At 34.3% G+C, this 14387-nt stretch overlaps 1 protein-coding gene across 1 annotated transcript in view; it reads left to right on the forward strand.

The window, feature by feature from the left end:
• Nucleotides 1-14387, forward strand: part of CFAP47 (cilia and flagella associated protein 47) — a 465584-nt gene that overhangs the window by 427738 nt on the left and 23459 nt on the right. Inside the window, exons 58-61 of the mRNA NM_001304548.2 lie at nucleotides 658-817; nucleotides 2567-2661; nucleotides 6058-6210; nucleotides 13859-14030. Coding sequence (NP_001291477.1) covers nucleotides 658-817; nucleotides 2567-2661; nucleotides 6058-6210; nucleotides 13859-14030 — 580 coding nt within the window. The remainder of the gene's footprint in view (nucleotides 1-657; nucleotides 818-2566; nucleotides 2662-6057; nucleotides 6211-13858; nucleotides 14031-14387) is intronic.

Here is a 14387-nt window from a genome sequence, read left to right on the forward strand (position 1 = left end):
ACATGCACACGTATGTTTATTGTGGCACTATTCACAAAGCAAAGTCTTGGAACCAACCCAAATGTCCATCAATGATAGACTAGATTAACAAAATGTGACACATATACACCACGGAATGCTATGCAGCTATAAAAAAGGATGAGTTCATGTCCTTTGCAGGGACATGGATGAAGCTGGAAGCCATCATTCTCAGCAAACTATCACAGGGTCAGAAAACCAAACACTGCATGTTCTCACTCATAAGTGGGAGTTGGACAATGAGAACACATGGACACAGGGCAGGGAACATCACACACCATGGCCTGTTGTGGGGTGGGGGGCTAGGGGAGGGATAACATTAGGAGAAATACCTAATGTAAGTGATGGGTTGATGGGTGCAGCAAACCACCATGGCACGTGTATACCTATGTAACAAAACTGCACGTTCTGCACATGTAACCCAGAACTTAAAGTATAATAATAATTAAAAAATAAGGTTGATGGCATCTAAGGTAAAATAGTGAAGCGAACTTATAATTTTGCATAATGCGTTTTTTGTTCAGAAGCAGTTTTTAAAAATTGATAATCAGTAATCAAATTAGGTGTTTACCTTCTCCTGTTAAAATTATAGTCTGTTAATATTTACCATATTAAAAATTATTTTTGTGTGTTTTACAGGAATTGCACTGCCTCCTAAAGGAAATATAGATATCTCATTGTTATTTATACCTCAAATTATGAAATTACACAAAACAATGGTTATTATTGAGATGACGAAAGCAAATGGAAAATATTGGCCTATTGACAATTTTGATGAGTTGGATATAAAATTTAAAAGGTAACATTTAAATAAAGACATTGAAGGAAAATAATTTTATTTTGACAGCCACTGACATGCTAGGTTTCTTTTACATGTTATACATATATAATGTCAAGCTCATGATTTTATATTCTCTGAACTGTTGAAATTCATATGTTCAGAGGAGGAAAATATATTTGTCATGTGGATATATATAATGTATAGAAAATAATATATACATATATATATATCTCTAATGGTTGATTTGAAGCTCAGAGTGATGAACAACTTTAATCTTAAGTATCATTATCAGTGAATCAAAGTCAGAGACATGCAAAGGGACTCCTTTCTGACATGGAAAATAGTGACTGCTAACATAATAAATAATCAGTATACAGAGGACAACCTAAAACAGCTTGTCTGAGTGAAGTGAATTCATGATACTGGAATTCACACTGTGCCAGGTGGATATGACATCCATCATATGAAACTGCCATGGCTAGAGGTATTCTGCCACTGCCAGAATGCAAGTTACTTGTATCTTTCTTGCTTAGCTGGAAGTTAAGCAAAATTCAATAATCGTGCAAAATCTAAATGTGTTCTCTGTTCTTATAGTTTAATTAAATGATAATCTGGAAATCTTAGTTAAAAATAAATTTTTACTTTGTCCTACATGTGCATATTTCTTTCCTTCATTTTTTGCCAGTTCTTTACTGTGGGCCCATTACTATCCATTCTACCATGCATTTTCACCACTCTTATAGTCAAGATTGGCTACATAAATTGTAAGTCTCAGTGAAAAATGAGAATGAGCAAACTTAATATTTTGCTCAATAACTATGAAGAATTTCAAAACAGTTACAGGAATGCATTAAAGAAGCTTGAAGGCCTTCTAAGGATGGGATCTTATTCTTTTGCATAAGCCCCATGCTCAACCTGTCTTGCCTGCAATGTCTTGTCTTTCATTTTAATGAAAAAAATCCCAACTTCAAAAATGATCATAAATTTTTTTAATTAATTGATTAATATTTTGAGATGGAGTCACACTCTGTTGCCCAGGGTGGAGTGCAGTGGCATGATCTTAACTTACTGCAACGTTCGCCTCCCAGGTTCAAGCAATTCTCCTGCCTAGCCTCCTAAGTAGCCAAGATTACAGGTGTGTGCCACCACGCCTGGCTAATTTTTGTATTTTTAGTAGAGGTGGGTTTTCACCATGTTTGCCAGGCTGGTCTTGAACTCCTGACCTCAAGTGATCCGCCTGCCTCAGCCTTCCAAAGTGCTAGGATTACAGGCATGAGCCACCATATCTGGCCTATAAACATTTTCTAATATTGCTGTGCTCCTAATGTTGTATGATGCACCTAAAATATTTGGACAAATGCCCCCTTTCTTTTAAGTAGTATCCTCCAAAAGTAAATGCCTCACAAAATTCTGAAGTACTGTACTTCATGGCAGTTTTTGTTTTGTGCTTTGCCCATCCAATATAGAATAGATCCCAAGAGGGCTATAGTACCTCTCATTAAAGTAGGGAAAAAAGCTCTTCAATTTTAACTTATATTTCATGATGGTTTCATTACAGTTTGCTTTGTGATGATTTTCCAGGGTTTGCTTTGAAATGTTTATAAAATCAGTATTTGCAGAAAATGTTCTTTCTTTCATCAGTTGCTCTCTACCAAAGTCTGAATTTACAAGCTTTACTAAAATACCATAAAGTTAATAAATAATAAGCTTTTTGTTAATATGGAGTTTCTCCTTTTGTTCCCTCTTAATATTTTAATTTCTAATTAGTATTGTGGGAATCGACAGCGAAGAAATCCAAGCAATACACTGGATATACCCTATTGTTGGACTCCCACAAGCACCACCTCCTAAATCTCCCCCAGGTAGGTATACATTAGGGTCAGAGAATGCCAGAATTCTTAGAGACCTTAGATATTCTCTATTCCCATCTTTTTTGTTTGAAGTCCAGAGAAAGTAGGTAGTAATGTGAACAGTCCTACTGGTGGGCATTCTATGACATAAACATGCTCTCCCAATGTGTCCAATGAGTTTTCCACAAAACCACACTATTTTTTGTTGCCTTCCTGTTGGTGAAATGCAGATATCGGCTAAAATTAAAATCAAATTAACTTCAGACTCCTTTATTCCACAGAGCTCTGCACTAGATTTGTAAGATTCTCAGGTATACTTGCTCTCAGGTCACTTTTAGTCATCCTTTTTCGGCTTCTGTGTAACTCTCGATCTCATCTAAGAACTATGCTGTGGAGATGTGGATCCCTTTATTATTGTCTCAAGCATAAAACTTTATGGTGTTCCCCCAAACCAGTCAGAATGTACTGAAGTTTTCAGGAAGGTTAACTTTGCCAGAATAAACACAATATAAAATCTCTGCCCTTAAATGCCTTTCTTGTTCTCTTTGACCTTTATTATTATTATTTATTTATTTTTTTTTTTGCCTCGGCATACCCTAGACTTCTCTAACGTTTCTGTGTGTTCTCTTTCCTCAATACTCTTCTCACTTCTTTTGCATTCCTTGATTTTCCCATTGCCTTCCCAGGATCAGCCTAAGAAACAAAATTTCTCTTATATAACCAGTGATATTTAGTATCCAGACCTCTTACCAGGCTCTAGATGGCATTCTGCATCACTAAGATGCACTGAATTGCTCTGCAAAGCAAAGGAATATTTATTTTGAATCTCCCCCTTTAGCAACACAGATGAGTTAAAATAAGTCTTGAAATTTTGCTTTTTCTTTCTCCCTCTGATAACAATCTTTGTAAATAAAAAAGAGTTAGACTTCCACTGATGTAATTATATCACCACACTTAGAAAGAAGAGACAGTAGTAAGTTTTGCTTGTAAGTAAAGCATTTCCCCAGATACACTGGTTGTAAAGAAAGATCAAGACTACATGTTTCCTTATGTAGTTTAATTTGAACTGGAGTAAAAATCCACAAATGTAGTAATACCTTTGACCACAAATGTCATTTATTTTCCTTGAAGCATTTTTATTCTTGACTTTAAAAAATCAACACATAGATAAATATTTTAAATATTATAAATTATCTTCAGAATATTTCACAAACTTGTCATAAAATTTATTTTATTTCCTTCCAGAAGATAGTTGATTGTATACTTCTGATATAGCTGAACTGCTTAAAATTTATAATACACAGTCATCTGATCAAAGTGATATAATAAGCCCTAGACAGTACTCTGTTGGAATGCTAATAATACTGTTGCTCATGTCTACTGCAGACAGATTCATTTTATCCAGATTAAAGGTCTAAAGCCAAATTTTTAGTCAAAAACCATGCTTATGAGAACACAAAAACATAGATTTCTTGCACATGTTTCTTCAAAGACAGTTAAACATCGTCTAGAGCATTTTTGTTTGAGTCATTTTTCTTGGTAATTACTTGATTTTTAAATTAAACGTGAGTTCTGTAAATAGCTTGTGTTAGATTAGCACAACCTATCGCAACATTAATGTTCTGAAATAGAGTGTGTATTAGTTATTAAATCATTTTCCCCAAAATCTAAAATCTATGCTGGTGATTATTTTTATCTACACATGCCCTCGAAAGGCAAGTGGATATAATTTTATAAATACATATCATTTACTTTCTGTGTAGTCCATTTTTTGTTCTTAGTAACATCGGATATAACCTACTGCTTTCCCTGCTCACCTATATCATTAGCAAAGTTTATTAATTCTTTTCTTTTTTATGTATCTGTCACTCGAGTTATTCTCAAACCCAGGATACTTTTTTGTTCTTTAAGCCACATTTTCTCTTTGTGCATTCTTATCTACTACTGTCTATTGGGCCAGATAATTGGAAAAACACTCTACTATCTGTCACACTGTAAAGACAATGAAATGATAATTCATTGTGATTGAGTGATCCATACATTGCCAGAGCACTAATTTCCTAAGGACCTCTAGGACACAACCAGTGACATGATACTAATTGTAACTTTGATAACATTAATTTCTGATTTAATGCCTTGATACCGAAGATAGTTATAACCAGAAAAGCTTGTACAGTTTTTCCTAGCCATTTTAAACCGTTTAATTTATATATATCATTGTATTCTTATTGTACATTTCACATACTCATTCTAAATCCAGAATGTTCAATATAAATTTTTAAATTTTAGAATAAAATTTACATTTGTTATAGTATTTTAAACTACAAATATATGTATTGTGAAAACACATACATCTGAGGACATCATCTAATTTTGTAGTTTGTGTGAATATATTATTATTGATGCCACAGAATCATAGCATAATACATTTCACAAGCTTTTTTATATTATGATTCTCCTTTTTCCCCTATATTCAATGTGTATTTGACTTGATAGTAGTAGAGCATTTTATATGTTTGGGAGAAATAATATTCTTATTTATGTGGACTCCAGTACACATGGTTACAGAGCTAATGTCAAAATAATACATTGATATTCCTCCTTGATATAATTGGTAGTTGTACATAAACAGACTATTTTGATTTCTCACAACATTGCTGACAAAGTTTTTCACCACTGGAGATGATAAAATATTGGAATTTAATACATATGAAATATATTTATATATATATATTTAATTCTGTACATTAAATTAATATGTAATCACATTTAACTTGAATTTTAAATCATTACAATTTTACTTTTATGTGTTTAAAAGGTAATTTTTATAAACTTAAAAGTAAATCAAAAATAATTTTAAATATTTTATTTAATTTGAATATGAATTTCATGGTACATGTAAAAACGTAATGAATCTAATAGGAAATATTTTTAAAATATTGCAAAATAAGTGTTACAGAACTTATTTTTTTAAATTATTTGAAGGCATTTTCTATAGTATTGTTATAAAAGTAAAGTTTAGTATTATCACAATGAACATATATTTCAAAAGGGGAAAAATTCATGCATTTACAATTGCCCCTTGAGTTATGGATCTAACTACATCAGTTCCCGAATCAAATTTCTATATCCTAATATAATGTTTTATAATCTAGTATATATCTTACAGATTTATTTTCCTGTGCTATTTTTACATAGTCTTTAATATTCATATTTTCTTCCCAAATGTTAACTGATGTAGATATTGCATGAATGTGTGTGTGTATGTGTGTATGTGGCCAGATACAATGACAAGTCAAAGTATATCAAAGGAAGTTTTATTTTTATGACATAGTTCATTTTCTTCTATCTCAAGAATGATCATATCACCTACAAGTCAAGTTAACTGGAAATATTTCTCTCCTGCAGTTGTCATACAATGTCAGTCCAGGAAGCGGGCAGAAGAGAAGGTAGAAATCATACTGAATGCTGGTTTTTTCGGATTTAGTCTTACTCCAGATCTGACAGAAGTTTTAGTGATTCCAAAAAGAAATTCACATAATTTTTGTGAGGATCCCAATGGTAAGAGAACTACGGTTATAGAAAAAATAAAATGAAAAAAGAAACTTAGTTTCCATGAATTGCAGGTTGCTGATTGTGCAGTTACATTAAGATCCATGTCCATTTACTTTTCATTTCACTACTTATTCACATAGTGCTTAAGGAGTGTTCCGTTGTTATGTGTGTTATTTTCACGTAGCTCAAACATAACAAGTTACAGTTATCACTAGATTTATAAGATGTAGATTGTGATTCCATCAATAGTGAGAAGAGAGAAAACTGTAGTAACTATAATTTCCACTTCCCTCAACTTTGTTTTTTTCTTTTACTCTTTCTTTCTGATTTAAGGATTATGATAATGCCATAAAATGCAGCTTTAAATTTAGAAACAAAACCTTGAGTAAATTATTTTCTAATGTAAAGAAATAGAAAATGAACATAAATTAGATATAATATCCAAATAAAGTTTGTATAATAATAATAATGCTTCACGTATTTAATGTATATTCCAGATTTGTATATAAGAATTTACTATCTCGGGCCAGGTGCGGTGGCTCACGCCTGTAATCCCAGCACTTTGGGAGGTCAAGGCGGGAGGATCACGAGGTCAGGAGTTTGAGACCAGCCTTACCAACATAGAGAAACCCCGTCTCTACTAACAATATAAAAAATTAGCCAGGTGTGGTGGCACACACCTGTAATCTCAGCTTCTTGGGAGGCTGAGGCAGGAGAATCACTTGAACCTGGGAGGCGGAGGTTGCAGTGAGCCGAGATCGTGCCACTGCACTCCAGCCTGGGCAACAGTGAGAGACTCTGTCTCAAAAAAAAAAAAAAAAAAAAGATTTACTATCTCAATTAAAAAACATCAAAATAATTTAAAATAGGTTATCTAATTCTTCAAATATGTGGTGTTTTACTTGAGGTAAATATGTGAAACTGAGTGATGTAAGCAACAAGGGAAAGTAGAGAGTTCTGGACCCTCCAAACACCCACAAACACACCAATTCAGCAATAATTCCCTTCGTAAGACAACAGAAACTAATTGAAAGTTTCTTGCACTTCAGGAGGAACCAGACTTACCAAAGCCTTTAGGGAGATTTAGGACACCCTCTTGCCAAAGACCCTGTGCTTGGCAAAGGGTCTTCTCATGACACATTGGTCTTGGCAATGATTTCATGGATATAACACCAAAAGCACAGACAAAAATAAAATAAAATAAGTAGGACTACATTAAACTGAAAAGCTTCCTCACAACAAAGGAAACAATCAACAGGGTGAAAAGATAACACGTGGAATGGTAGAAAACATTTGCAACCCATATATCTGATAAGTGGTTAATCTTAAGGAGCTCCTACAACTCAATTAAAAAAAAACTAATAATCTGATTTTTTAAATAAGCAAAATACTTGAATAGACATTTCTCTAGAAAAGACATATGAATGGTGAAAACTATATGAAAAAAAGTTCAATATCACTAATTAGGGAAATACAAATCAAAACCACAATGAGATATCACCTCACACCTATCACCATGGCTAACGTCAAAAAAAAACGTGTTGATAAAGATGTGGAGAAATTTGAACCCTTGAACATTGTTGGTAGGAATGCAAAATGGTTCATCTGCTATGGAAAACAGTCTAACAGTATGAAAGCTCCTCAAAAAATTAAAAAGAGAATTATCATCTATTATCTAGCAATCCCTCTTCTGGGCATTTATTCAAAAAAATTGAAATCGGGAGTTCCAAGAGAGGTCTGTATTCCAATGTTCATTGTAACATTATTAACAATAGCCAAGATATAGAAACAACCTAAATTTATGTCCTCAGATGAATGGATAAAGAAAATGTAGCATATACTATCTTGAAATAATATTCAGCCTTAAAAAGGAGGAAATTCTATAATGTGCAATATCATGGATGGACCTAAGTGAAATAAGCCAGTCACAGAAAGACAAAACTACATGATACCACTTAATATGATAAATTTGAAATACTCAATCTCATAGAAGCAGAATAATATGGAATAATAGTTGCTAGGATCTGGAAGGGAGAAGAAATGGGGAGTTGAACATTGGGTATAAAGTTTCCATTGTACTAAATGCATAAGTTCTAGGGATCTGTTGTAAAACATAGTGCTTAGAGTTAACAATATTGTGTGGTGCACTTAAAATGCACTTTAAAAATATTAAGAGGGCAGAACTCATGTTACAGTAACTGTAAAGGAAGGTAAATAAATGCTTATACATATAAACCATTTTAACATGTTCTTGCTACTTTAAATTGCTTAAGTTGTACTCTTGTCAGGTTGTAAACTAAAGAAATTGCAATTCTGATCATATACATTGATTATACTTATAACCTAAAAAATCCACTTAACTCCTAGATAATCAGGGTCTTGAAAGAAGCTACCAACATCATTTTGGGAACTTTGAAAGTCATATTTAGGAGAGCAATCTCTCTCAAAATAGCTCTTGAAAATATACCTTTTGATATGGCTCTTATTTTACTGCTTCCTTATTTTTCATGATGAAAAACAGTATTTACTATTGAAAATAACTGTCGGGAAGGTTTGCAGTCTCATCTCCACCCGTCATTCTCTCTAAAACAGCTTTTGTTTTCTCTGCTCTCTGCTCAATACCACCACACTCAACAAGCTCATTCATATTTTGGCTAACTTGTGAATCTTTTTTGTTCTCCTGATGTATGTCCTGCTATATAGAAGAATAGACCAGTCTCTTCTCAAATTTAACATAGTTCTTTCTATATAGTGCCTAAATATTTAAAAAAAGGAATCGACCTCATTGTCTCCTTAAAGACATATGGCAATAACTTGGTTCCTTTCCCCTGCCCTTATTCCAAAGGTGTAGCCAACTCTCTACAAAATCTGTAATTCTCTCTGCTTGACCCTCCTTTGACACCTTTTTCTTTATGAAAGGACAAATCTTACCAGAAAGTCTGAATACTACTTTAGTCTTTAGTATATGCAAAAGCAGACTAGCTCCTTTCTCACTCCTGTGCAATTTAATTACAGTTTACTCAGCACATTAAGAATAGGAGTCATGTTGACCATGCAGTCTTGTACTTCCTGTTGTCTCCTAAGTCCCTTCTAGTGGAAATTAAAGCACTACACTGAGTGGCATGGACTCTGATAGGATTTTAAGAGTGATAATTAATCACATACTTGTCTTCTCTCATCTGAGTTTGAAACTAACTGAGAGGCAGATATAAAAATAAAGCAGATGGAAATCAAAGTGTTAGCTTTATTAATTATACAAATGAATTGGAAAATGACTTGGAACTGTGGAGAAATTTGGGCTTTTAAATACCTTCCACCAAAATTGAGTGCATTCATGCCAAACTGGCCAGTTGTGAACTCCTTGCAGGAACAAACAACTTACACATGAGCGAGTAGAAGAAAGTGTGAATCCTGGAATCAAGACATTGGGGAAGAAAGAGAAGGGTATGCTCACCTGCTCATGTTCCATTCCTTCACTCAAATTCACTGATCAGATATGTTGCTTTTCCACCCGTGGCAAGTCATCATGAAGGAGGCAGATTGAGGCTGAGATATTTTTCTCCTATACTTTTTCCCTTCTTGAGAGTGAATAGGCCTCTTTATGTAAACCTGATAAGTAGGAGATAAGAATTCCCAGCATTCCCTTCCCATTATATTCATCATAGAATTTCTGAGTCACATAAAACTATCAAGCTTCATTAAATGAAAATACAAGGACCACTGTGCTCTCTTCATCCTTACTCATCACACATACCTTTAAGTAAACTGGGATTGATTACCTTCATGTCTTTATCATTCAGCAACAATCCAGCAAGCATCTTTTCTGCCAGATACTACATTCAGCTCCAGAGGTGCCAAAATTAGCAAAACACATACTCTGTTGTTAAGGTTTTCAAAAATATTTATTCAACATGATAAATCTATGCACCTGTACTATTTACATCAATTGGTATTGTCCTATTGAAATATTATTATTCTTGGATTTTTAGACTGTTTTGCAGTGTCACTTCTGTAAGATTACAAATTACTCTGTGGGCAAGATTTCTCCTATAAGTGTATTTCTTCTTCCTAAGTACCTCCTGGTCCATGCATTCTTTGTAATTCTCTATGGATTAGTTCAGTGACTTTCTCGGGGCTTTCTATCTGAAAGTAGTTTTAGTCATGCCCCTTAATTTTATTTCCCAATTGTTCTATAGCTCAATACTGTTTTTCTTTGATTAATCTGTTGTCTTTTTTCTGTGTGATGTTCTGATTTATGTGACATATGTGTCTCATTTCATCCCAGGCCAGTCATCTTCCTGTGTCGTATTTGCCTGTTTTTTGTAAACTCCCATGTCAGGTTTGGCCTGTAATCACAAACAGCTCCTGAGAAACCTGTCATTGTTCCTCCTGTGACCTCATATTGACCTCCTGTCCTTGATTCTTTGCTCTGTTTCTCTTCACTTTGTTTTTTTCTGATCAACTTACTTCATTCAGCCTTTGTCCTGCTTACTCTAATAGGATTAACCTTGAAAAGACTGCCAACCTTATCCAGTGTGCCTAATACAGCAGTCATATCTGTGTTCCACATGTCATTAGCATTTACCAGTTGATCAAGTTGAAGTACTTTCTGCCCTTGGCTTTCATGACTAACCTTATTAATTTATTATCACACTGGTTGACCCTTCTTGATTTCTGTTATTTTCTTTTCTGACCTAACTTTTTGAGTGCCCTAGGGCTCTGCTCTGAGAGCCACCACATTCCTATGCACAAATTATGTCCTGCACCCTTCCAGACAATGATGCTAATGGTGCTAATGGTGCTTCTGCAGCAATTGTGCCATATGACAAACCTGCTATACTGAGTTGTAAAGTCTTAAGTCAGACTGCTTGGGTTCTTTTATTTAGTATTAATCTTGAATAGAGTCTGAAATTGGATGCTAATCACTAGTAGTCTAGTTGTCTCCTGTTATTCTTAGAAGTCCCACATCTTCACCACACCCTGCATTGTCTCGCTCTTTTCTACTTTGCCTGCTTCACGGTTTGATAAACTCCTCTCACCCTCTCTGCTCTGCCCTCATAAGTTCTTTCTCAAGTGGGCCCAGCTGGTTTTCACCATGAACAATTCCTGCAGTCTGAGTAATTCCTGCAGGCTGCTTTGATGAGTAGAAGGAGTTTTCTCCCTCTCTACATCCAGCTAACCTTTACTCATCCTTCAGTTTGGTGTGTTGGTCTCTTCCTCTGGAATCCTTAGCAGTGATGTTCCCAGGACCTGTGCTCTCATGGGATCCTCTACTTCTCCATGGTAGTAGTTATCACAGTAGTAATTTAAAAACTAGTTGTGGCATTAGTAGTTATTGTCAGTTTCTTCCTCTTGATCATCAACTCCATGAGGACAAGAATTAGACGTCTCATGTCAAGGAAAACCTTTAATTAATATTTGCTGAATGAATAAAGAAATGAAAATATAAATAACGATAAGAAAAACATTATGTTTTTAATGTATGTTTAGGTGTTGGCTGTGGAAACAAAATTATTTGCCCCTTATTCATGAATTTAGCCATAGCTATAAAGTTTCCCCGAGGTAAAAATTTATAGGTCTTCATCAGCAGTTCATGAAAATGTATACAGAAGGGGAGGCAACTGACAATAGAGGTGCTTTGAGAAGGCAAGCATGATAACTATTTTATATCATAATATAGAAAAGTCTATTTTCAGCTGATAAGAACTTCAATCACATACAAAAATACTTTTACTCCCCCTAAATACACTTTATATTATGGATATTAAAAGCCATTTTTTATTGTATATTCATTAACTAATTTTTTGTGGCTATAGTTTTTCTAAATACTTTCTTTTAACATTTCTACTAGGGTTAAAAGTTATTTGTGCACCACTATTACAGTATTACATTATTCTGCATTTGTATATATATTTACTTTGCCAGTGAGATTTATACTTTTATATATTTTTATGTTGCTTTTGAACACCCTTTCATTTCAGCTTGAAAAACTCCCTATTAGTACATTTTATAAGTCAGGTCTAGTAGTGACAAACTCGTTCAGCTTTTGTTCATCTGAGGGTTTTTATCTCTTTATTTTTATTTGTATTTTTTGAGACGGAATCTCGCTCTGTCACCCAGGCTGGAGTGTGATGGCACAATCTCGGCTCACTGCAAACTCTGCCTCCCGGGTTCACACCATTCTTGTGCCTCAGCCTCCGGAGTAGCTGGGACTACAGGTGCCCGCCACCATGCCCAGCTAATTTTTTTTTGTATTTTGAGTAGAGACGGGGTTTCACTGTGTTAGCCAGGATGGTCTCGATCTCCTGACCTTGTGATCCACCCACCTCAGCCTCCCAATATCTCTTTATTTTAAAGGACAGATTTGTCAAGTGTAGTATTCTTGGTTGGCCTTTTGTTTTCTTTTAGCACTTTGAATGTGTCATCTCACTGTTTCCTGTCCTTCAATGTTTCTGTTGAGAAATCCACTGATAGTGTAATAATAGTTCCCTTGTATGTGATGAGACAGTTTTCTCCTGCTGTTTTCAAAGTTCTATTTTTGTCTTCAACTGTTTTTGACTGCTCCATAGACAGAGAAGGGACATCCCATAAGCAGAGTGGCCCAGAGTAGCTTGCCTTTGACTTTCAACAATTTAATTATAATGCATCTTGGTGTAGGCCTGGTGCCTGGGTTTGTAGGCAGATCTGGGGCCATGACTGGGGACACATCTGGCGCCTGTGTCTACAAGGACAGGCCTGGAACCAGGGTCCATGAGGCCAGGCCTAGTGCAAGGATATATGACAGAGTTGGCTTCTCCCTTTGCTATTCCCTTCCCCTGTTTAAGAACTCCTGGGCTAAGGGGATGTCGCATCACTGGGCTGAGAGGGTTGGATTCTGGATTAGCACAGCTGTAGATCCAGTCAATTCATGGTTCTCTGACCTCTCTTCCAAGTTCCATATGCAACAAACTTCTTGATTTGTGAGTTGGGCTCCTTACATATAACTGGAGAGTAAGTTTAATACATGTTTGTACCTCTCATCTACATGCTAGCTCTGGATTTAAGATATTTTTCATGTGCAGGGGACAAAAAACTACTACTTTTCTTTGGTAACCTACTCATTAAGAAAATATTTGTTCATCATATTGTCTGTATACTCCAACACTAAAACATGAGGAGCAGTTTTTGTTAATCAAAATATACCAGAAATTGAAAATCCTGATCTAATAGTTTGAAATGCTGTTTCAATATTGTTTAAACTTAATTCAAAGCAAGTTTTAAATGACTTCTTCATAAGTTTTAAGTCTATAGGTTTTTAATACATTTATTATATAGAGCAAATGTCATTATTTTCATTAGGCAGTTAATGATTATTAATTTCCATGTGGCCTTTCTTGTTTTATAGACCTGAATTATAAAGATTTAAGAGTGGTGAGAATTGTCTTCTATGTTTATTTTTATATGCATTCATTTATTTATTAACTTGTTAACAAAAATATACTGAGTATCATTATATGCCTGATAATGCACTAGACTTTATAGACATTAAGCTAAATAATATATACCCCCTCCCTTTCTCTAAATACCTGTGCATTGTTAGTCTTGACAGGTAATTGATATTAAATCTATGCATATTTAATTAAATTGAAATATATTTTCATCTTGACTTTCCTAGAAATTCCTAAAATACATGAATTCGAGTATGAAATTCAATTTGAATCTGAAGCTATGAAGTCTAAGTTGGAATCCTGTGTAGCTTTATATATGATTGAAAAATCTTATGATATTATGGCTAAAAGGATAACATTTATCTTCAATCTGGTATTCACACCAAAGAAACCATTAAGGTAAATCTACTTTCCTCTTTTTTATTTAAACAATAGTATTACCCTTTTAAATGTATTAATGTTGATTTCTCTTTTTATTTCTCAATATTTGAATTGCAATACTTATTTAATATTATTGAGAAATATTTTGGGCTAGATTACATCTAGCTACAAAAAATATTCTCATGAGAAGAATGTAGTCTAAATGGTTGAAAATCTAAGATATCCCTCAAGAATTATGACTTCCCTAAGGTCATTAGTGTATCACATTAATGAAAGAGAATATTCTCTTCTGTAAAATCTTTTTTTAAAAAAGCTGATTTAGCGTTGTGCAATAGCAACATGATATTTCTTGATGTTGCTTATCAGAACCAGTTC

Source organism: Homo sapiens, chromosome X (genome assembly GCF_000001405.40).
Source record: "Homo sapiens chromosome X, GRCh38.p14 Primary Assembly".
NCBI lineage: Eukaryota > Metazoa > Chordata > Mammalia > Primates > Hominidae > Homo > Homo sapiens.